General features: G+C 43.7%; 1 protein-coding gene across 17 annotated transcripts in view, besides 3 other annotated features; it reads left to right on the top strand.

The window, feature by feature from the left end:
- HLCS (holocarboxylase synthetase) overlaps positions 1-23,496 on the top strand; it is a 241,587-nt gene that overhangs the window by 61,937 nt on the left and 156,154 nt on the right. The window lies entirely within an intron of this gene.
- Positions 330-522: a silencer, noted in NCBI's record as "fragment chr21:38300053-38300245 (GRCh37/hg19 assembly coordinates)". NCBI's record gives its function as "represses an EF-1alpha promoter that drives an FKBP-Casp9 reporter gene in an ReSE screen in HepG2 liver carcinoma cells {active_cell/tissue: HepG2}" and the evidence as "EXISTENCE:reporter gene assay evidence [ECO:0000049][PMID:32094911]".
- Positions 10,392-10,686: a silencer, noted in NCBI's record as "tiled region #2954; HepG2 Repressive DNase matched - State 8:EnhW, and K562 Repressive non-DNase unmatched - State 12:CtcfO". NCBI's record gives its function as "represses a minimal TATA promoter and a strong SV40 promoter by Sharpr-MPRA in HepG2 and K562 cells {active_cell/tissue: HepG2 | K562}" and the evidence as "EXISTENCE:reporter gene assay evidence [ECO:0000049][PMID:27701403]".
- Positions 17,537-18,736: an enhancer, noted in NCBI's record as "P300/CBP strongly-dependent group 1 enhancer chr21:38281839-38283038 (GRCh37/hg19 assembly coordinates)". NCBI's record gives its function as "activates an origin of replication core promoter dependent on BRD2, BRD4, P300/CBP, MED14 and CDK7 cofactors, with strong dependence on P300/CBP, by STARR-seq in HCT116 cells {active_cell/tissue: HCT116}" and the evidence as "EXISTENCE:reporter gene assay evidence [ECO:0000049][PMID:35650434]".

The following is a 23,496-nucleotide window of genomic DNA, read 5'->3' as shown; positions in this document are numbered from 1 at the left end:
TCTGCTTAGGTGTCCTTGAATCTGCTGTAGAAGGAAATGGCAGAAGTCAAGGTTTTATATGATGTTTTCTTGGAATACAAGTTCTCTAAAGGATTATAGTGCAAATGAATTTGAAGGTGGATATGCACTGCCTGAGGTGGTCTTTCCGGAGGCAGCTGAATTCCTCCTGCATCTAGTCACTGTGCTATGGGTCAGTATTTATAGATCTGGACCACAGAGACTGGGAATGGAATTGGGTTTGTGCTTTGTATTTGGTTTTCTTTCTGGCATCCCTACTTAACAGATCTCAGTCATCCTCACGGAATTAAGTTCCATGGAGAGGATCTTGGCACCCAGTCATCTGCTAAATCCTGCCTGTCCATTTGGCTCATCGCCTGCCTTAGGGATTGGATGCCTGGGCTGGCTTTCTGCTTCCTGTGCCCTGCAAGACACTCTGTTGCTGGGAGTCAAAGATCTCTCACCACAGGGTGTCGCTGCTGAGCTAGGCTGCCTCGCATACAGGACCCTAGAACTATAAAGTTGTTCTTCAGAGATTTAATTTTTTTCTGTCTATATCAGTTTCACATAGTATAATTTTATAGTTTTCCATTATATTGGTGGCACTTTCTTTTGGGTCTGCAGAAATTATTTCAATGTCCCAGTTAATAATATTCATCTTTCATTCAACGTTTACTGTGTCCTAGGTACTATTATAGTATGGGATATGAAAGAACAAAATAAATATGCTAGTTATCTAAATAGTTTTACTGCGTACCAGCTGTGTTTACACAGTTTGGTGCCTTGACACTTGCTCTTTATGACGAATAGCGCAGAAGATTTATGTGCTTCTCCGTTACTGTGATATAACTGGAAAGAATAGTAGCAAGACCCAAAGAGAAAAAACACTCGCCTCAGCGACGGTCAGCCCTTGGCATTTGGGAAGGATGTGCTCGGAGACCTTCATCGACACCCAGACACCATGGTAGCGTGTGATTCCCACTATAAAACCCAGTCATGTGTGGCTCCATCAGTGTCACTGTGCACGATACCAAGAGGAAGCAGGGCTTGGCTGAGATGCAGGCTGTGGGCGGCTGAGCTGGGCTTCCTCCGACCAAGGCTTTCACGTTTAATTGAACCTCCCAGGAGCAGGATTGAAATTTGGGTCTCAGCAAAATGACAAAAAGTTAAACCATAAAACAAACACACAAACACACGTTTACCACACACCTATCTCCGTAGAAAGAAGACTGGGCCAGGTGCAGTGGCTCAAGCCTGTAATCCCAATGCCTTGGGAGGCTGAGGCAGGTGGATCGCTCAAGCCCAGGAATTCGAGACCAGCCTGGGCAACCTGGCAGAATTTCGTATTCTTTACAGAAGATACAAAAATTAGCCAGGCATGGTGGCGCATACCTGTAGTCCTAGCTACTCGGGAGGCTGAGGCAGGAGGATTGCCTGAGCCAGGGAGGTTGAGGCTGTAGTGAGCTATGATTGTGCCACTGCACTCCAGCCTGGGCAACAGAGTGAGACCCTGTCTCAAAAAAAAAAAAAAAAAAAGGAAACAAGACTGGAAGGAAATCTGGTATATATGGGACTTATTTGTGGTGGAGTGCTTAAGGGTGATTTTAATAATCTTTTAAAACTTTCTCTGTATTTTCCAAATTTTCTATAATGATTATATATATAATAAGCCAAATTAGTTATTAGTTATTTTATAATGAGCCAAATTGGTTATTTGTTATGAGTTATTTTATAATGAGCCAAATTAGTTATTAAAAACTAAAAACAAATGACTGCGTGTCATTGGACTTTGAAGGCATCTCACACATGGTCACACTTGAATGTTAAAAGGCAGGGAATCTCATAGGTGTTGATACTTTGGTTAATATTAATATTTGACATATTATTTAGAAAGGGTTCGCTCTGATAGTAAAACACGTGACTCTTGTTCATGGCCTGTGGCAGCTGTGACTTCCAGGGTTAACTGTGAGCTCTGAGTTGGTGTGTGGGGGCCTCCGAGCTGAAGCTGTCCCTTTGCTTCTGTGGGTGGAAGGTACCCCTGGGTGCCCTACCCCTGCTTGGATGTTCCAGTTTCTTGGCAGAGCCCTTTGAACTGTTTCTCCAAGACCATATATATGGGGACCTCTCCATGGCTTCCTCTCTGCAGATGTTGGTGGGTGAGAGACTGATACACCACATGGCTCACTGTGGGGTGTCCGGGGTGCGATCACCTGGTGGCCACCACATCTTCCCGCCACCAGTGGGTGACAGGCAGTCAGCAGCAATACATCTTTACTGTGCTGGGACATGAATGTTTTTGAGAAACACTGATTTTATAGAAGAAACATAATCCTTTCCCTTACAGAACACCAGAAAAAACATAATTCTTTTATATTTTATAGAAACATTTTAATAGATTTTATTTTCTATCGAATCTGATGTTCTAGAGAAAATGTAATTCTTTCCCAGTTGAGAAGCTAGCTGCCTTGTTTCTGTTTCTCTGGGTTCCATTTTCCTTTTTATCTCTGCCAGAGCAATGGCAGAAAGAAAGCACAGGCTGCCACGCTCTGCAGGGTCTCACTGGGAGGGGCAGCTGGCGGGTTAGGACCGGCTGGGACCTGAATCTGTGTGTGGGGCAGAGCCAGCCCCCCACCCTCCACCCCTGCAGAGTTGCCTGCCAGTGGACCCCTTTTGGTCCCCCCAGTGAGTCCAGAGGAAGCAGAAGAAGGTGGGATGTGCCACCCCTAGGAAGGTCGGCACCTTTACCTTGGGGAACTGGACGTGCTGCCCCCAGGAAGGTCGGCACCTTTACCTTGGGGAACTAGAGAGCTTGTGCATTGCTCCCGTAGCCTGGGACATCTGCTTAGGATCTGGGGAGCACAAGAATTTTTCCAAAATGAAAAAGCTTGGGAACCTTGTGGGTGTTCATCGTGGCCAACGGTGGCTAACAGTGTGTAGGTGACCTGAGAAACACAAGCCGGCTGGACTCTTAGCAGGGGTCCTGTGTCCAGCTGGGATCAAGATGTAGCTGTCACAAGAAGTGACAACTGGGTTTGTTACTGAAATGATCGGGCAAAATCACCATGAGGTGTGTTTGTGTGATTTTGGTAGTGGGGAGTTATGGAATGGGTAATACGTACTTAAAAACAGAAACTAGTTATGACATTTCATTTTGATTTAACCCCAAATTTTTACTGTGAAACTTTTTCCCCCCATAAAAAGCAGGTTTTGTTGGTAAGGATAGTTTAGATACTTGTAAACATATCAAAAAACGGGTACAGGCCCTTCTACTCCGGGAAGTCCTTTATGTTACTTTTTTTTAAATTGTATATATTTAAGGTATGCAGCATGATGATTTGATATACATGAACATACTGAGATGGAGCTGCTTTTCAGACGTTGATAGCTTTATGAAGAAACTTAGACTCAGTCATACATACCACACAGTTGTTCCTCCTTCTCTAACTGGCCCCTTCATGTAGCAAACATCTGTGTGCCTACTAAGTACAAGCCCTTGCTGCAGAAGTTTCTGGAAAACGAGGGATAATTCCTCGTCTTTGTGGCATGCGTTCTAGTTAACCAAGCTTTTTTACCTGTGTCGCCATCTCATTTGGGTCTCATAGTGACCCTGATAAGTAGGGCAGGGCGGGGAAGGAGTCCTTGCCCCCGGGAGAGGAAGCTGGCGTACAGGACAGTGAAGAGGCTTATGTATTTTTCGTTTCTGTTGTTTTTCTTTTTGAGATGGAGTCTTGCTCTTGTCGCCTAGGCTGGAGTGCAGTGGTGCAATCTCTGCTCACTGCAGCCTCTGCTTCCTGGGTTCAAGCGATTCTCCTGCCTCAGCCTCCCAAGTAGCTGGGGTTACAGGTGCCCATCACCATGCCTGGCTAATTTTTGTATTTTTAGTAGAGACAGGGTTTCACCATGTTAGTCAGGCTGGTCTCAAACTCCTGACCTCAGGTCATCCACCTGCCTCAGCCCCGCAAAGTGCTGGGATTACAGGCATGAGCCACTGCACCTGGCTTAATGTATTTTTCTAATGAGTTAATTAGAATTCTCCACTAAAAAAAATCTTTGCCTGCCATTTTTTAACATAGTACTTGATGTGGAGTCCTCCCCTTCTCCTATTTTTAATCCTAGTTCTGAGTCTCGAATGTATAGATAGGGCGAAGCTTTGGGCATAACTTTAAAATACAGCTTAAAAATAATTTTTAGAGATCCAAATTAGAGAGGAAGTCAGAATTCCAGGTGCACCTTGAATAGCTTTTGACATGTGGCTGCTGTGGTCTTGTGCGGCTGTTTTACAATACGGCACCGGCTAAAGGCAGCTAGCAGATTAAAGCAAACATTTAAAAGCTTTTATAGCTATGAATGCTTTTAAGGGTCTTTCATATACCTCTTTCTCTCGTTTCTTTCTTCCTTCGCCCTTCACCTACGCTGGAAATTTTTTGTTCATTTTGACTGACTTCCTGTTATCAAACATAATACCCATGGCAAAAGGTGACATGATGGGTTTTGATGTTGAATTGCAAAAGAAATCATACTTGGGGGGTTTTCCTGTGCTCCCTTTAGAATGTTTTATTTTTGTGGGAAGAAGGCTTTTCAGCTACTGTGTGTCCTGTCTTTTTACTTGAATCTTGTTTCCACAAGTGTGCCTCAAAGCAGCGCCTGCAGAGTAAATACCCGGGGCAGAGATGTGTGCTTGTGGGAAATCTGCACAAACGCTTTTGTTGTTTTCCACGTTTAATTAGTTTTGTGATGATTCTGGCTTCTGTGCGTTGCGGTCTTTGCTGTCTGGCCTGGTGAAGGGGTGATAAGGTCTCTGAGGCCGAGGGAACATTCCCGCTCAGCACTTTCCTTCTTGGGATAGCATCCCGTCTAAGAAGCGTGGTTTTCTTTCCTCCGTCTATTTATATCCACCGTTTATGCAGTCACAAACTTGTGGATGGGAAACGGCCTCTTTTGGAATAAAAAAAATCCTCCAAGACCACATGCTTTTTGTCTCCTACCCGGGCTTCCTAATAGCTGCCATGTGTGAGCGGGTATGGATTCTGGCCTCACCTCCCAGGGAAGTCGGTGGAGGCTGTCTCCAGAAGGGCTTAGAACATTCTCACACGCGGATTTTTGTCTCCCAGTTCAAAAAACACATCCCAGGAATAAGCCCATACTGGTGCCGGGTTAGAGAGCATGATCAAAGGGCTCCTGTGGTCAGGTGCAGGGCCAAGGACCAGAGCTGGCGGTGGGTGCGGCGGTGGGGCGCCCGGCGATGACGGAACCGTTGAGTCTGGCGCTCCCGGGCCGCGGAGCTGGTGGTGTCAGCTCAGGAATGTCGGGGTCTGAGACCCGAATCCCATTTGATAAATGTTCTCCTTCAGTTCTTGGGATGTGAATTATAGCTGGGGAGCACATTTTGTTTCCATGCATGCTAATGATTTGAGAATGCCGCCTGGAGATTTGCACTGACTGTCTTGGAAAAATGTTTATAGTGTTTCGGGGGTTTCAAAACTGACAGGCAGTTTGTGGACCTGAGTGGTGTTTAATCCCCCATTTCCCCCACCTGAGTGGTAAGGGGAGAAACAACTTGGGGTGCAAGGAGAGCGCTCCTGTGCTGGAGCTCGGCCGATGCTGGGCAGCACCAGGAGGATTTTGCGGGCTTCCTCGTGAAAGCAGGAAGACTCAGCCAAGGTTAGTCCGTCTGTCGGTCCCTCAGGCACTTTCTCCTGGAGATAAGAAGGGAAGACTCCTTTTTTCTGAGAGATCTTCCTAATTTGTTTGTTTTGTTGTAGCTGCCTGTGTATGGCTGCGTCTCCCCAGGTACAGCATGCCGAGTTTGGCCACACAGCTATCCAGGTACTACCATGTTTCCAGTACAATTCTACATTATCCCTCTGCTGGTGTCGTGGGTCTTTTCTTTCTTAAAATGTTTTTAGGCTTTGGTTTAATAATAGAATCAGTGGAAGGAATATTGGAGTTTCTGTTCCGTAACATACACATATATCAAAGCATCATGTGGTATACCAGAAATGTACATACTTTTTACTTGTCAATTAAAATAAATATTTTTTTCTAAAAAGGAGATATTGGAGTTAAAGACTATGATTTCAATTCTCATTGATCATTGGAGCTACTGTCCTTTACAAAAAAATTCTATAACTCAAATTTTATTTCGTGAATTGAGGAACGTGGCTTTAATTTAAAAAAACAGAGTCTTTTAATCGATACTTTTAAGGGTATTTGAGTTTTTAAAATTTCAACCATATGAATACATATTATGATAATATATATGCATATACATTTATATATTTATTTATTTAAGTGCATATGTCTGTTTTAACCAGAACTACAGAAAAACTTAAGATTGCTGAGATAGAACGTGCCTTTGTGGAGTGGTCATTTCTCCCAGAGAGTGAGAGAAGACTTAGAGTAGCGGGTCTGGAGATTTCTGGTAAAAGGGAAATGCACTTTCCCTTGACACGAGGTTCACAGCACAATTTTGTTGTGTAGGTGTTTGTGTCTCTGGTGGGTCTCTGGCATGTGTGTCTGAGTGCAGGGGACAGGGGCTCTGGGTGAAGAGGAGGGCTGCTTTGGCACTGTGCTGCTGCGCCTCCGAGGCTGAGATTCAGATTCTAGGTGTGAGCGAAAGGAGAACAGCGTTGCCCATCAGCAGTCAGCTAGATCGCTGGGTCCTGAACATGCGTATCATAGGACCATTGTCAGTTTCACCCACCATGAGGCTTTCCTGAGCCACTGGTCTATAAAAACTTTTAGTTTAATTCAACCTGCCTCCTACATGCATTAAGGAAAAGTTTAGAAAATTAAAATTAAAGTTGAAAGTGAATATTCTTTTTTCTTTTTCTTTGAGACAGAGTCTCACTCTTACCCAGGCTGGAGTGCAGTGGCACGATCTCGGCTCACTGCAACCTCCACCTCCCGGGTTCAAGCGATTCTCCTGCCTCAGCCTCCTGAGTAGCTGGAATTATAGGCACACACCACCACGCCCAGCTAGTTTTTGTATTTTTAGTAGAGACGGGGTTTCACCATGTTGGTCAGGCTGGTCTTGGACTCCTGACCTTGTGATCCGCCTGCCTCGGCTCCCCAAAGTGCTGGGATTACAGGCGTGAGCCACTGTGCCCGGCTGAAAGTGAATATTCTTCTCAGAAAACTTACTGAGTTTGCTTTTGTATGCCCTAGGTAAACATTTGGTAAGTTGCTCTCTTCTCTGAACAAAAATGAATCCTACGTAGAGTAGTTCACTGAAGAGTGATTGAATGATGGCACCACTGATCCCTCTTCCTGTTTTTAATTTCCGTAAATAAGAAAATACACCTTTTAAAAGAAACATCAAACAGTAGTTTCATAAATTAAAAAATGATGGTTAATTTGGGGGTGGGGGGATAGCCAGACTCTGCCTAGGATTGTCTAGATTACTTTTCATAGGCAACCTTGATGCATTTCAGGATTTAAGTTTTTCTGTAGCTTTTTAGTTAATAAAATGCTTTAAAGGTCAAAGGTCTATAATTTTGAAGGTTTTGCTCTGTGTATTTTTTCCTTCTGTGATGTTGGGGTTAGGTGTAGTGTCTCAGATTGGCCAAATGAGTTTTTCTTGGTAGACGGCTTTAAAAATTTTTTTTAATTTTAATTTAATAGGTACATAGTAGGTGTATACATTTATGGGATGCATGAGATGCTTTGATACAGGCGTGCTGTGCATAATAATCACATCATATAAAATGGGGTACCTATCTTCTCAAGCATTTATCCTTTATATTACAAACAAATTATATTATTTTAGTTATTTGAGCATGTACAGTTAAATTATTATTAACTGTAGTCACCCTGTTGTGCTATCAAATACTAGGTCTTATTCGTTCTTTTTATTTATTTTTATTTTTTGCATCCATTAACCATTCCCATCTCTGCCCCACCTTCCCACTAGGGTGGGTGTCTTTTTTTTTTTTTCTTTTTTCTTGAGACAGGGTCTCGTTCTGTCACTCAGGTTGGAGTGCAGTGGCATGATCATGGCTCACTGCAGCCTTGAACTCCTGAGCTCAGGTAATCTCCCACCTCAGCCTCCCAAGCAGCGGGGACTACAGGCACATATCGCCATACCTGGCTATTTTACTTTTGTGTTTTGTAGAGATGGAGTCTTACTTTTTGCCCAAACTGGTCTCAAATTTCTGGGCTCAGACAATTCTTCCGCCTCAGCTTCCCAAAGTACTTGGCCTCACAGGTATGAGCTACCGTGCCTGGTGCGTCACCAAATTCTCATGACCAAACCCTTCTCTGTTCTGTTGGGAGGGAGGGTAGACAAGATGACCTTTCTCATCCTTTGCAGGACTCTCTGCAGTATTTATGCTGGTCTTGGCAAAGCAAGTAGACTAAAAAAAATTTTTTTTAACTTTTTAAGCAGTTCCTTTGAATGCATTCTTTTCTAAGAATTTGTGATTATTACCATTTTCATCTTTATATTGGAACAAGTTAAAATCATAGATACATCTTCACAGTTAATTTCAGCACAATGAAATAATGTTTTGCTATCTGCTTTATTTTTATTTATTTCAGGCTAATTCTCTAATTTTACTGTTAATTTAAGAATTATCAATACACTATATAGCAGCCTCAGATTTACAAAGAAATTGTGTTTTCAAAATTTGTGTGCTAACTTGTCTTTTAACAATTTGGTCCCCATTATTTATGACAGTTGGGTTTTCCTAGCATCTCACGTATGTCCTCTTGCCCCATACTGCAATTAAACCATGGGAAACCGTCTTATCTGTTTCTGTGTCACATTCTGGCTTGCTGGAGCACGTATGCAGTGGGAACACTTTGAGCATCTCTTTCTACTTCTCCATCGTTCAACTCAGGACATAACAACCATATCTCGGACATTGCTCAAAAACGTTAAATTGGATACCTAGCAATACCATGGCATATGACTTAATTAATTTGCCTCGGTAGGTTAATACTTCTCTTATATTTAAGAAAACTTTTTTTCTTTCAAAGTAACTGTTGAACTTTACACACAAGTAAAAGCAAACATTTCATAGAAAATTTCAAATATGCAAAAGTAAATATAAATAATGAGTGAATTCTTCTGTACTCATCACTCTCTTTCACAGTTATCCATTTATGGCCAATCTTATTTCACTTCTTTCTACCCACTTCTCTGCCAGTATTATTTGGAAGGAATTCCCAGATACTGTTTCAGTTTTCTCATCTGCAAATATTTTAGTATGTGTCTCTGAAAGATGCGAGCTCTGTTTAAAAACATAATCACAATTCCACCGTCATACCTAAAATGAAACAATCTCTTCATATAATCTCATGTCCAGTCAGCCTTCCAGTTTCCAATTAGACATATTTAAAGATGGACTGTAGTATCTGTGCATTGTGTATAATAAGCACATGTGTATGATGAGCACGTTGGTCCTGTTGCAAAACAAATGTGAGAGAGAAACAACTGATGTTAACCCCTGTAACTTTTAGGGCAAAGTTGATTTCTGTGTCCTTGTTGAATGCCACATTTTAGCCCCCATTACAAGGCCATTCTGCAAATAGCAGCAAGTCGCCAATTGGAATAATATGCAGAAGAACCCTGAATGTTGAAATATGGGGGTTTTGTTCCAACTCTTACTCTTTCAGAACTAAACATGAGTTCCTCACCCTCTCTTTTCTGCATGCTAAGTCCTGGGTCTCTTTAGCAGGGACGGTATTGATTTTTGTTCTGTATGCTTTCAGCTCGGGTTGATGTTTAGCCTTTGACCCAGCCACTTTCTTACAATAAACAGTTTGTTGATGAGAGCAGCTGCTCAGCAGATTGTTTCCAGATTGTTCTCTGACAGCTGAGGACAGAGTGCACCTTACGAAGAAGTTGGCTTGAAGCTGATGGCGTCTCCTTCTTACCCTCTCTGCCTTTGAAGCCAACTGTCAGCCTCTGATCATTCCTCTATTTATATCCAGTGAAATGGTGTGAATCTGTGGCACTAGAAATCAGGCCTCACCTACAATCCTGAATATTTAATTTTGTTCTCTGAATGAATGGTTGCAGCATTTTCTAGAAGTTTCTGCCATATGGAGCAATTCCTTACTTTGCAGGAAGAATTTCCGGCACTCAGTACATAGGAGTTAGTGTACCATGGGGTGCTATGTAAGAAAGCAGACAGGCTGGGCTTTATTTTGTTCAGGAATCTGTGCTCCTTGAATATTTAAAGGCTTTCTATGCAAGTAAGGAATGAGATTACTTTCAAACTGAGTATGTATTATCTGCCTTGTGACTTGAGCCCTTTTAAAACAGTTCTCTTTATTTATTTTTCTACTTTTGAAAGAGAGTACTTCATTTTTTTTTTTTTTTAATGCAAGAGACAGATCATCCAATGACTTGGTGATTTACGTGGTCCAAAGTCACACCTTCGTTTGGATTTCTGCAGCTTCCCCAGTCACCTCCAGCTGTTACCTAGAATGGCCTGTCTGCTTGCAGCGACCTTCATTAAGAAGGGAAGGTCCGAGCTTTCAGCATGAGAGCCAACACTTTTTACTAAACTGGCCACCAGAGGCTGCTGTCAGAATGGTGAGGCTGAGCTCACCTCCCCGGAGGCAAGTTTACTTTTTCTACAACCAGTAAATTTTGTTAAGCTACCAATCCTGGTTTCAAAACTCAGGTCTCACTACACAGCCTCCAGTCACCAAGCATGCTTACGGCTGTAGCCCTTACAGCCAGGTATGACGTAGGAACTGGACAAAATTCAAGACCTAAGATTAAGACTTGTGTGTTTTTCATTCGGTGCCAATAAGCTGTTATTAATGCACTGATTCTGCATATACTGAACAGCTTCATGAAACGCACTGGGGTTTGTACTCGGGGAAAGTGCGCCCTGCATTTGGGCTGTACAAGATCTGGGTCTGTGGAGGGATGGCTCCATGAGGATGGAAATCTGTGGTTTTTCAGGGAGGTGTTCTTGCCTCAGAATGGTTCAGCAGCCCTTCCCCGGCAAAGGCAGCATGAAGGCTTGTTCAGATCAAAAGCTAAAAGGTGTTCTTCATTGCTGTTTTGCTTTTTGATTCTTTATGAAGGCTGTTTCTTTGATGATTCCACGATTAACAGCAGAACAAAAATCTACAGATCATGTAGGAGCTGGCAGGGCCTTTCAAGCTTCTGGGGAAAATCCTTTATTTCTCCCCCAATTTTTTGTTAAAAAAAATTGGAACTGAAGAAAAGGTAAAAGAGTCATACACCAACCCTATAAGCCCTGTGGAGCCTTCACCCAGATTTACCACTGGTGAACCTTTTGCCACATTTTCCTGATAAAGAGGGCCTTTTGTTTTTGTTTTGAAGATGCAAATGTTACTTCCTTTAAGTAAACCACAAAGCCCAGACCCTATTGTGGGTTGTTTCTAAGAGTGAGAGGCTTTGACATCTTTGCTTCCAGGAGAACGGCTCTAGTTTCTACTTGGCCCGGGGAGTATTTGTTTTATTTGAAGTAAAAGCAGTAGCCTACTAGTTTGTGATGGTTCCGTATGGCTGTGTATCACCCTACAGGGTTGAGGGGGATATTCCATCTTCATATGAACCAGCATTTATAAAGCACATGTGTATAAAGTTCTTAGAGTAGTAAGATTTTAAGTTTTAAATTGGTCAGGTGCAGCGGCTCATGCCCGTAATCTCAGCACTTCGGGAGGCTGAGGTGGGAGGATCGCTTGAGTCCAGGTGTTGAAGACCAGGTTGGGCAACACAGCGAGACTCCACCTCTACAAAAGATAAAAAAAAAAAAAAAAAAAAAAAAAAATTAGCTAGGCATGATGGTGTGCACCTATAATCCCAGCTACTTGGGAGGCTGAGATGAGAGGTTCTCTTGAGCCCGGGAGTTGAGTTTGTGATCGCGCCACTGCACTCCAGCCTGAGGAACATGTTGAGCAAGCAAGACCCTATCTCTTAAAAGAAAAGTCTTAAATTACAGAACATAAAAAAATCTTACAGCCGGATGCTATGAGGACAGATAGTTGATCTTTTATACTCAACAAAGGGATTCTACCCCTCTGATCTAGGAAAATTCCACTGATGATCATGTCACGGGTATAGGATTTGAATTTTTTCTTGCAATTTCCTAACCCAAGTATCGTGACTTGGAACCTTAGATCTAGTCACTTCCATAAGATTTTTTTTAGGTGGTTTGTATAAGTGCTATTGTTGTATTATTTGTATAAATATCTGTTTTCCCCATTAAACTGTCATGCAAGCTGATTTGAAAGCAAGGACCATATGTTGTTAATCTTTGTATCCCTTTCCCAGTATTTTGCTTATAGTAGACATTTAGTAAGCACATTTTATTTGGACACTTGCAAAGTGTTTTGGTTTTTCCCCCTAATGGATTGGGAGCTGCTTCCTTGGCTCCTGTGCACCGAGAGCCCCCAGAGACCCCAGGGACAGGCCGGCAGTGCACAGCCCTCTCTGCCCGAGCGGCTGCCCGCACAGTCCAGCTCTGTATTCTGGGAAAGCAGGATAAATAACCTAACAGGTTGTTAGGTTATTCTTAACAATCATGTTAAACAGTTTCTAGAAGAATCAGCTGTGGGCATGCCGGAGGAAACTGGCCAGATGGAGTTTCAGGGAAAAGTTGGAATTGTTTTGTGTGTTATTAAAAACACTTTTCAGTAGAAACTCTGCTTTTCTCCTATGAACGAATGCACCTTCTGAGCCGGAGCTTCTTAGACCGTGGCCTTGAGTGTGTGGGGTTAGACCCGCCCTCTCCTTGCACACGTAGGGCAGTGTTGGACGCCGCTCCCCTCTCTCCTGCCAGGCCTGGCCAGGTGTTATTCCCTGGGATTCTCTGAATGTTCCCAAGTGTCATGGTGACAGCCAGTTGGACCAGTGAACCTTTGCTAAGATAAGGTCCTGGAGCAGAAAGCTCTTGGCCTCTTGATATGGGGCCGCTTCTCTCTTTCCAGGTAACATATATTTTAACATAACATGATGTTAAAATTTCAACTGAGAATTAAACAGTGGAGGCTAAACATTGAATCTTGAAGCTCCGTTTTACCAGAGAGAGATGTTCTCGTTTTCTCGTTAGAAAAATGAAGAAGCTGCGGTCAGCCCAGGGAGTGCCTCTTGCGGCCTCACAGCTGATGGTGGCAGAGCTGAGGGCAGGATCCCATGCCAGAGTCCCCTGCCCCCACAAGAAGCCCAGGTGGGGCTGGCAGGTAACAGGCAAATAGCTGAGGATGGTGGGGCGGGGGGACATGTCAGCATCAGAAGGAAGGGAACGTGTGAATGGTCACGTTGGTGTGCATGTCGGCTAGGATGGGCACCTCTGGGTGCACCAGGCAGGGCTGCCTATGGGCCCCCAGGGCTCAGCCCCAGCGTTTTCCATGCCCTCCACCCCCACGCTGCCTGCTCTGTCAGAAGCCTGTTTGTGTTGGGCTGAGACAAATGGCGGGCGTTTTCCTTGGGCAGGCTTAATGAAGGCCCCAGAGACTCCTGTGGGTGTCGGTCCCGCACCCACGAGACCAGTGAGTGGAAGTTCGCGTCTCTCATTGTGGAGGCAGTGGCTGAGCTGCCCCATAGAGCCGCCCTCGCCGTTAGAGCCAACCCTGGCTTTCTCTTTGGTCTCTGCACTTGCAGAATAGATTCCGCTTCTACAGTGAGCCTGTTTGGCTTGGTGGAGGTGTGATGCCTATAAAACCAGCCTTATTAGAAATGACTTATTCACTCCCTGCTTTTACTGTTCTACTCAAGCCTTTTGTGGTCTTCGCTAGTTGGCAGGTAACAAAAAAATGCAGTAAATCCTGGGCCTTTCAGCGTCTGAGCCTGAGCTATCACTTTACATTATAAAAGGAAGACCGCTTAACAGACATTTATTGAGTGCCTACTGTGTCCCAGGCATTGGGGATCTAGAAAGCCCTGTGGCAAGTTCAGCCCTGGAGGAACTCATATTCCTGGGGGTTAGATAGCCAATGACATCAATCCTAAGTCCTTTGGAGTTGCTGAATCGATTTGGGCTCATCGCTAGATCAGGCTGTGTAGAAGTTCATGTTGTTGCTGGGACTAAGTCAGAGTTGTGCAGGGCTGGATGTGAGAGGGGACGCATAACCAGCAAGCCCACCCAGCCAGATGTGCTGGCCCCTGGACCGTTCACCTGTCGGCCCATCCCTGGGCTCCCGTGCTCCTAACTCTGGATGTTTCTCATCACTGGCTGCACTGGCAGGAGATTGATGGGCAGGATTTGAGAGAGGTCAAGGTATTAATATTATTTCCCATTAGCAGCTCCCCCTCTTGCTCCTTCAGTCCCTTGCTGGTTCCAAGTGCTTTGGCACCCCTTCCTTGTTCTTGGGTTCTCTTACCTCTGCCCACAGTCCTTCCATTACAGAACCCTTGTGAATATGACACCTCTTTCCTGCAGAAACCAGATAGGGGTGAGGTCAGCAGTAGCTCACTTACATGATAAAACCTTTATTTCTTTGTGAAAGTGTCCTCTCACAGCCTTGTCTAAGTAGGCACAGCTAGTGGGTGGTAGCTTCAAGGTTCACATTCAAGTTTCTTTTTTTTTAAGATGGAGTCTTTGTTGCCCAGGCTGGAGTGTTGCAGTGGCCCACCATCTCGGCTCACTGCAACCTTCACTTCCTGGGTTTAAGTGAATCTTCTGCCTCAGCTTCCCAAGTAGCTGGGACTACAGGCACCCACCACCATGCCCTGCTAATTTTTGTATTTTTAGTAGAGACGGAGTTTCACGATGTTGGCCAGGCTGGTCTCAAACTCCTGGCCTCAGGTGATCTGCCTGCCTGGGCCTCCCAAATTGCTGGGATTACAGCGTGAGCCACCACACCCCGCCAAATTGAAGTTTTTCTTATCAAACACTCTGCTCCCACCCCTGCCCACTGCCCTTCTCCCTCCTACCCCACCCCCAGCTCTGAGCCATACACATCCATTTTATGTTTATTCATAGTTGCATATTGAGTTTATATCTTTGTGATACCATCAGCATTTTGATTATAGAAAATAGGCATTTCCTAATTTGCTGCATTTTGGGTTAGGTAGGTCTCTTTGTGAGGACCGTGGGATAGGAATTAGAGCAAGGATTTGGGAGCCAGACAGATTTGGTTTCATGGGTTCAAATTCCAGCTCTGCGGTATACTGCCTGTGTGGTTTGGGCAGTCGTTAATGCTGTCTGGGGTCCCATTTCTTCTGCTGTGGACGGTGCTAATGATGCAGAGGTGTCGCCTGGAAAGGACTGGGGATCTTGGGTCCACAGCACCCAGCAGTGCTTGGCAGTGGATGGATGTGCAGAAAGTGGTGGCTTTCATACTCTTGTTGTAGCTAAGTGGGTGCCTAAGCAGAACTTAAAATCATTTAGCTGGAGAAGTGGGTGGAAAGTCACCTTGGAAATGACTTTTGTTCTGAGAGGTCCTTTGAGTGGCCTCTCTTAGTGATACTCAGGGACAGCAAGGAGGGACCCAGAGGAGAGCACAGCGAGACCCCTCGGTTGCCTGTGCAAGCTGTCCCTTTGCTCCCCCTGGTCTGCAGGGCTAATTGATGGCAGGGGTTGGGGGGGGTGGCTAATTGCATAGAGGACAGGGAGCTTTGTGAGAGTAAAGGAACTGAGATCCTGACTCCTTCTCTCTCTCCCTTTCTCTCTTTAATGTGATAAAATATATATAAAATAAGTTTACTGTTAGAACCACCTTTAAGTCTCCGATTCAGTGGTGTAAATTACACCCACACTATTTTACAACCATTTTCACTCTATATTTCCAAAACTTTTTTTTTAAGCGTCCTAAATAGAAACTCTGTAACAGTGAATAAATAATTCCCCTTCCCCTCTCCCTGTGGCTCCTGGTAACCTCTGTTCTACTTTCCATTTTTATGAATTTTCCTATTCTGGATATTTCATACAAGTGACATCATACAATATTTGTCCTTTTGTGTCTGGCTTTTATTTAACTTAGTGTAATGTTTTCAAGGTCCATCCATGTTATAACATGTATCAGAACTTCATACCTTGTTTTTTTTTTTTGGCTGAATAATATCCCCTTAATTGTATATGCCACATTTTGTTTATCCATTTGTCTATTGAGGGACACCTGGGTTATTTCCAGCCTTGGCTGTTGTGAATAATGCTGCCATGATCATTGGCACACACATATCTGGGTCCCTGCTGTCAGTTCTTTTGGGTTTATACCTGGGAGTGGAATTGCTGGATCATGTATTAATTCTCTGTTTAATTTTTTTTTTTTTTTTTTGAGACGGAGTTTTGCTCTTGTTGCCCAGGCTGGAGTGCAATGGCATGATCTTGGCTCACTATAGCCTCCGCCTCCTGGGTTCAAGCGATTCTTCTGTCTCCGCCTCCCAAGTAGCTGAGATTACAGGTGCTCACCACCACGCCTGGCTAATTTTTGTATTTTTGGTAGAGACAGGGTTTCACCATGTTGGTCAGGCTGGTCTCAAACTTCTGACCTCAGGTGATCCACCCACCTCGGCCCCTCCCAAAGTGTTGGGAGTACAGGTGAGAGCCACCGCGCCCGGCCCTCTCTGTTTAATGTTTTTTTTTTTTTTTTTTTTTTTTGAGACGGAGTCTCGCTCTATCGCCCAGGCTGGAGTGCAGTGGCGCGATCTCGGCTCACTGCAAGCTCCGCCTCCCGAGTCCACACCATTCTCCTGCCTCAGCCTCCCAAGTAGCTGGGACTACAGGCACCTGCCACAACACCCGGTTAATTTTTTTTTTTGTATTTTTAGTAGATACGGGGTTTCACCGTGTTAGCCAGGATGGTCTCGATCTCCTTACCTTGTGATCCGCCCGCCTCAGCCTCCCAAAGTGCTGAGATTACGGGCATGAGCCACTGTGCCTGGCCTCTTGTTTAACTTTTTGAGGAACTACCAAAATAGTCCCCTTCTGTTCTGAGAGTCAGTGTCACTAGACTCAGTCTGGGGAGTTAAAATGGACCTAACTGGAAGGACGCATCATCAGGGCCCCAGAGAAGGATGGCTGGATGGGTTCCAGGCTTGCTGCTGGGGCTGAGACGAGTGGTCTCTAACCCAGAGGCCAGGGGAGGGGGCAGGAGAGGCAGCGCAGAGTGCAGCTGGCTGCTGGGGACACACAGGGCCAGCTGGAGCGCGTTCTCCACGGGATGAGGGTGGCTACTTGGCTGTAGCCCATTACTGCTGTGTGGAAAGAGTTGCTGCTGCTTCAAAAGAGGCAGGAAATTTGATATGAAATATCTCAATTTTTAAGTGTTGCAGCTGGTTCAAAATGTGGGCTAAATAAACCACATCTCCAGATTCATTTTGGCCCGAGGGTGTCCCTAAGTGACGGTCAGCCTGGATGTTTGTGAAAATGGACTGGTTTCAGCAAAGTAAGCCACTGGAAGGTGGAAGCCCTTCAGAGCCGTTCGCTTTTGTGTGCCGGTGCTTGGGGCTAGTGGCAGAACACAGGGTGGGAAGCAGGAAGCAGCAGTTTTGGGAACTCATGCCAGGGTGCAGTGCCGTGCAGCGTGGAACCTGGACAGGTCAGGCAGGGGTTGGTTAGACCACAGGGGACCAGTGTGGCTAGACAGAAGCTGCCGCATAAGGGACCAGGCTGGTGAGGAGGTGCACACACGCAGACACCCAGACAGGCATTTCGCAAACCTGCATGGAGCCTTGCTTTGCTTGGTACTGGCACGCTGAATAAACGCCCACCCCAAGGGTTGTCAGATGATCAATCCCTGCCTTAGATGAAGTCAGGAAAAAAAAATAGTCCTATTTCAGGAGCGCCATTTTTTTTTTTTTCCATACAGAGTCTTGCCCTGTCCCCCATGCTGGAGTGCAGTGGCGCGATCTCTGCTCACTGCACCCTCCACCTCCGGAGTTCAAGCGATTCTCTTGCCTCAGCCTCCCACGTAGCTGGGACTACAGGTGTCCATCACCACGCCTGGCTAATTTTTGTATTTTTTAGTAGAGATGGGGTTTCACCATGTTGGCCAGGCTGGTCTCAAACTCCTGACCTCAGGTGATCCACCCACCTCAGCCTCCCAAAGTGCCGGGATTACAGGCATTAGCCACTGCGCCCGGCCCAGGAGTGCCATCTTTTGATTATAAAGATTTGCTGTGCCATCTGGCTTTGTCCTGTGAGTGAAGACACCAAGCGAACATGAAATTGCGTGTGAGTATTTTGCGTGTCAAATACCAATAGTAAGAATTGGATTGCGTCATATAAATTCCATACGAGTAGACAAATATTTGCTTCTGCTTCCTTGAAAGTGTTTTAAGAATGAGACACCCATAAAAGGAGATTGCGTACCATGTCTTTGATGATTCATTTTCTGATTAACTCACTTCTGGCTGCCTAGCAACTTACGATGTTATGACTGAAGCACAACTAATCTTATTATTTGCAATGAGGCAAATGTGTCTCTGAGATAGAAAACCTTTATGGGTTAAGATCAATTATTTGGTGTTTCTTGGGAAAAGAAGCTCCAAAACATACATGGAGATCATAAGAAATATTTTGAATTCAACACTGAATCTTGTTAGCTGGGTAAATTTAGCAGATAAGACAAGTAACAGGGGTGGAACCGCTCTAAAGTGATGTGGCCCACACCTGTAAACCCAGCACTTTGGGAGTCTGAGGTGGGAGGATTGCTTGAGCCCAGGAGTTCAAGGTTACAGTGATCTATGATCACGTCATTGCACTCCAGCCTGGGCAACAAAGCAAGACGCTGCCTCCAATCAATAAATAAAGTGGCGAGACACAGTATAACATGGGTTTCTGATCTTAATTGCACTCTGTCTGTAGCAGATGCTGCAATATGTTTACCCACCATAGAGTAGTCACTTCTGTGAATTTGCACTAGATACAGATTCAAGCATTCACTCTCTTTAGAAGTGGAGATATTGGTGTTATTTGGACGTTAGTGAATATGGAGTCTCCTGGGCCTTAGTATTGTTTAATGTTGCATAGGTTTGTTGCTGTTTGCTTTTTTAAAAAATCAACTTTATTTAGTTATGATTTATATTCAAGAAAATGCACCCATTTTAGTGTACAGTTTGATAAATGTTTTACATGTAACTACCTTTACAATCAAGACACAGAACATTTCCAGTATTCCGAAAGATTCCTTTGTTACCTTTCTTTTTTTTGAGATGGAGTCTCGCTCTGTTGCCCAGGCTGGAGTGCAGTGGCGCGATCTAGGCTCACTGCAAACTCCGCTTCCGAGGTTCATGCCATTCTGCTGCCTCAGTCTCCCTCAGTAGCTGGGACTACAGGCACCTGCCACCACGCCCGGCTAATTTTTTGTCTTTTTTTGGTAGAGGTGGAGTTTCACCGTGTTAGCCAGGATGGTCTCGATCTCCTGACCTTGTGATCCGCCCGCCTCAGCCTCCCAAAGTGCTAGGATTACAGGCGTGAGCCACTGCCTTTGTTACTTTTCTTAATCAGTTCTCATGCGCTCATCCACCCCTAAGCCTGGAGCCTCAGGAGATCACTGATATACTGTCTATCACTAGATGATTAGATTGGCCTTTTCTGAAACGTCATCTAAGTGGAATCATATAGTGTACTGGATACCCTTCTTTTTTTTGATCAGTGTTATGTTTTTGAGACTTGTCCTTATTGCATGTGTGGGTAGCCCATTACTTTTTATTCCTGAGTAGTATTCCATTGTATGGATATGCTGTCATTTATGGCTGTTTTGAGTAAAGCTGCTATGAACATCCACATACAGGTCTTTGTGTGGACATGTGTTTTCATTTCTTTTGGGTAAATACCTAGGAGTAGAATTTCTCGGTCATATGAGAAGTGTGTGTTTAACTTTACAAGAAACTGCCAACTGTTTTTCAAAACCATTGTACCATTTTACATTCCCACCAGTAGGGCATGAGAGTTCTAGTTACTCCACATCTTTGCCAACCATTGTAAAGTGTCAGATTCTTTTTTTTTTTTTTTAAGAGACAGGATCTTGCTCTGTTGCCCAGGCTGTCAGTGCAGTGGCACAGTCATGGCTCACTGCAGCCTTGAATTCCTGGGCTCAAGTGATCCTGCCACCTCAACCTCCTGAATAGCTGGGATATAGGTGTGTACGACCACTCTTGACTAGTTTTGTTTTTTTATTTTTTGTAGAGACTGGGTGTCACTGTGTTGCTTAGGCTGGTCTCAGATTCCTGGGCTCAAGCAATCCTCTTGCCTCAGCCTCCCAGAATGCTGGGATTACAGATATGAGCCACTGTGGCCGGCCAGAATGTTTTTTTTTTTCTTTTTCTTTTTTTTTGGAGACAGGGTCTTGCTCTGTTGTTCAGGCTAGAATGCAGTGGTGTGCTCACAGCTCATTGCAGGCCCAAATTCCTGGGCTTAAAATAGTTTTTTAATTTTAACCATTCAGGTGGATGTATAGTGGTATCTAATTGTGGTTTTAATTTGCATTTTCCTGTTGCCAAATGGTGCCAAGCATTTCTTCATGTGCTTATTGGCGATCCGATATTTTCTTTTGGGCAGTGTCTATTCAGCTCTTTTGCTCAGGCTTTAAGTTGAATTGTTTGTTTTCTTACAATTTTAAGACTTCTTTTTTATATTCCGGATACAAGTCCTTTGTCTGATATAAGTATTGAGAATAATTTCTCCCAGTTTGTTGTTTGTCTTTTCACTGTTCTTAGCATTATCTCTCTTTCCCTTTCTCTCTCTTTTTTTTTGAGATGGAGTCTCGCTCTGTCGCCCAGGCTGGAGTGCGCATGATCTCAACTTACTGCAACCTCCGCCTCCTGGGTTGAAGCAATTCTGCTGCCTCAGCCTCCTAAGTAGCTGGGATTACAGGTTCATGCCACCATGCCTGGCTAATTTTTGTATTTTTAGTAGAGATGGGGTTTCACCATGTTGGCCAGGCTGGTCTCAAACTGCTGACCTCAGGTGATCCACCCACCTCAGCCTCCCAAAGTTCTGGGATTACAGGTGTGGGCTACCATGTCTGGCCAGCATTATCTCTTCAAGAACAGCAGTTGTTAATATTCTTAATTTTTATAAAGTCCAGCTTATCACTTTTTTCCTTTTATGGTTCATGCTTATTTTGTTCCATCTGAAAAAAACTTTACCTACCCAAAGTCAGAAAGGTTTTCTCCTGTATTTTATTTTAGAAGGTTTGTAGTTTTACATTTAGGTCTATGATTTATTTCAAGTTAATTTTTATATACATGTGAGATAGAGATCAAGGTTTCATATTCTTGCATATGAATGTTTGTTTCAGCACCATGTATTGCAAAGATTATCATTTTTCAAGTCAGTTATCTTGGGCACTGTTGTCAAAAATCAATCAAACAGGCCAAGGTGGGAGGTTGGCTTGAGCTCAGGAATTTGAGGCTGCAGTGAGCTGTAATCACACCACTGCACTCCCCACTGGGTGGTAGCGCAAGACGCTGTCTCAAAAAAATTAAAAAAAATCAATCACACTTATATGTTTGGCCCTATTTCTGTACCCTATTCTGTGCCAGTAATCTATACCTATCTCTGTGTGCCAATACCACACCGTCTTGATATACTGCAACTTTATAGTAAGTCTTGAAAGCAGATAATGTAGGTTTTCCAACTTTTTGTTCCTTCCCAAAATTGTTTTGACCATTTAAAATAGTTTCTATTTTCAGCTTGTTAATTTCTACAAAAAAAAAAAAAAAAAGCCTTCTGGGATTTTGACTGGGATTACATTGAACCCATAGATTAATTTGAAGAATTGACATCTTAACAGTGTTAGTCTTCTGATCCATGAACATGGTGTATCTTTTCAGTTATTTACAGCCTCTTTAATTTTCTTTTTGTGTTTTTGAGATGGGGTCTCGCTCTGTCGCTTAGACTGGAGTGCAGTGGTGCCATCATGGCTTGTTGCAGCCTAGCTCCTGGGCTCAAGTGATCCTCTCACCTCAGCCTCCTGACTAGCTGGGACTACAGGTGCATGCCACCACACCCAGCTAATTAAAGAAAAACTCTTTTTTTTAGACATGAGGTCTTTCCATGTTGCCCAAGCTGGTGTCAAATTCCTGGGCTCAAGTGATCCTCCATACTCAGCCTTCCAAAGTGCTGGGATTACGAGTATGAGTTATGATGCTCAGACATCTTTAATTTTTAATTCAGGAGTGTTTTGTAGTTTTCAGTAAACAGGTCTGGCACATATTTTGTTAAATATGTCCCTAAATATTTCAGATCTATTGATGCCATTAAAATGATATTTTAAAGAAGTTCAGGCTCCAAATATTTATTGTTAGTATATGGAAATGCACCCAATTTTTGTTTTGTTTTTTTTTTTTTTTGAGATGGAGTCTCACTCTGTTGCCCAGCCTGGAGTGCAATGGTACAATCTTAGGTCACTGCAACCTCTGCCTCCCAGGTTCAAGTGATTCTCGTGTCTCAGCCTCCCAAGTACCTGAGATTATAGGTGTGTGCCACCACACCCGGCTAATTTTGTATTTTTGTAGAAGTGGGGTTTCACCATGTTGGCCAGGCTGGTCTTGAACTCCTGACCTCAAGTGATCCACCCACTTTGGCCTCCCAAAGGGCTGGGATTACAGACGTGAGCCACTGTGCCCAGCCAATTTTTGTATATTGACCTTGTATCCCACAACCTTGCTAAACTCACTTATTAGTTCTATTTTTTTTTTTAAGATTCCTTTGGATTTTCATGTCCTGTGCAACATGACCCAATAAAAGACAAAGAATATATTCACCTTTCTTGAGAATGACTGGTGCTGTGGCTGATTTAAAAGGGCCACATTTATGTGACTATAAAGCATTCAGCTGTTGGTTCCACCCAAATCATATTTAATTAACCTGAAATCCTAGAAGAAGAGAAATACTAAATTCTTGAAGATTAAATGTTAGAAAAATAACATTAATTAGAATTTTATAAACCCCCTTGAAGTGGAATCTGATAGTGGTTGTTTGTTGTCAATAGAACTAGCTGTAATGATTTCAAAGACTGTGCATTATTTTTGATGCTTACGTAGCCATCTCAAGACCATACTCTCTCATTGTCTTTTTTGAGTTTTACCTCTTGATTACCTATCTATCTGTTATTTGGAGAGTTTTCCTTGGTAAGGTTTTAATGTGCATTTATACAGTAAATGCTTATTAAGCATGCACTTTTGTCCTAGGTTCCATGGATACCGTTGGGAGCAAAACAGGAACATATGTATATTATCTTTATGGAACTTATATTCTAATAAGACAGTGTGGCATTGAATAAGCACTTATACAAATTATGTATAGTCGTGATAAGTGCTATAAAGTAACTAAGGGTTTACGAAAGTTTGTGAACGGCTGTGGGTCAGAGACATCCTCCCTATAGAAGTGACGTTTTAGCTATCCTCTGATAGTTGAGTTCAAAGAAATAGGTGCATTTGCGTATTGCAGAGTGGGTAGTGCTACTTATATGTCAGCCCACTTGTCTTGATGTCTATGATCCAAACCTTTTTTCTTCAGTAACATTTTTACATTGCATGGTCATTAGGAGAGTTTAGGCAAGAGTCATGAATTAATTCCTTTTCCCTACATGTATTATTAGCAGCTGTATATGCAACTCTCA

Source organism: Homo sapiens, chromosome 21 (assembly GCF_000001405.40).
Source record: "Homo sapiens chromosome 21, GRCh38.p14 Primary Assembly".
Classification (NCBI taxonomy): Eukaryota; Metazoa; Chordata; class Mammalia; order Primates; family Hominidae; genus Homo; species Homo sapiens.
This window is presented reverse-complemented; position numbering and strand designations above follow the sequence as displayed.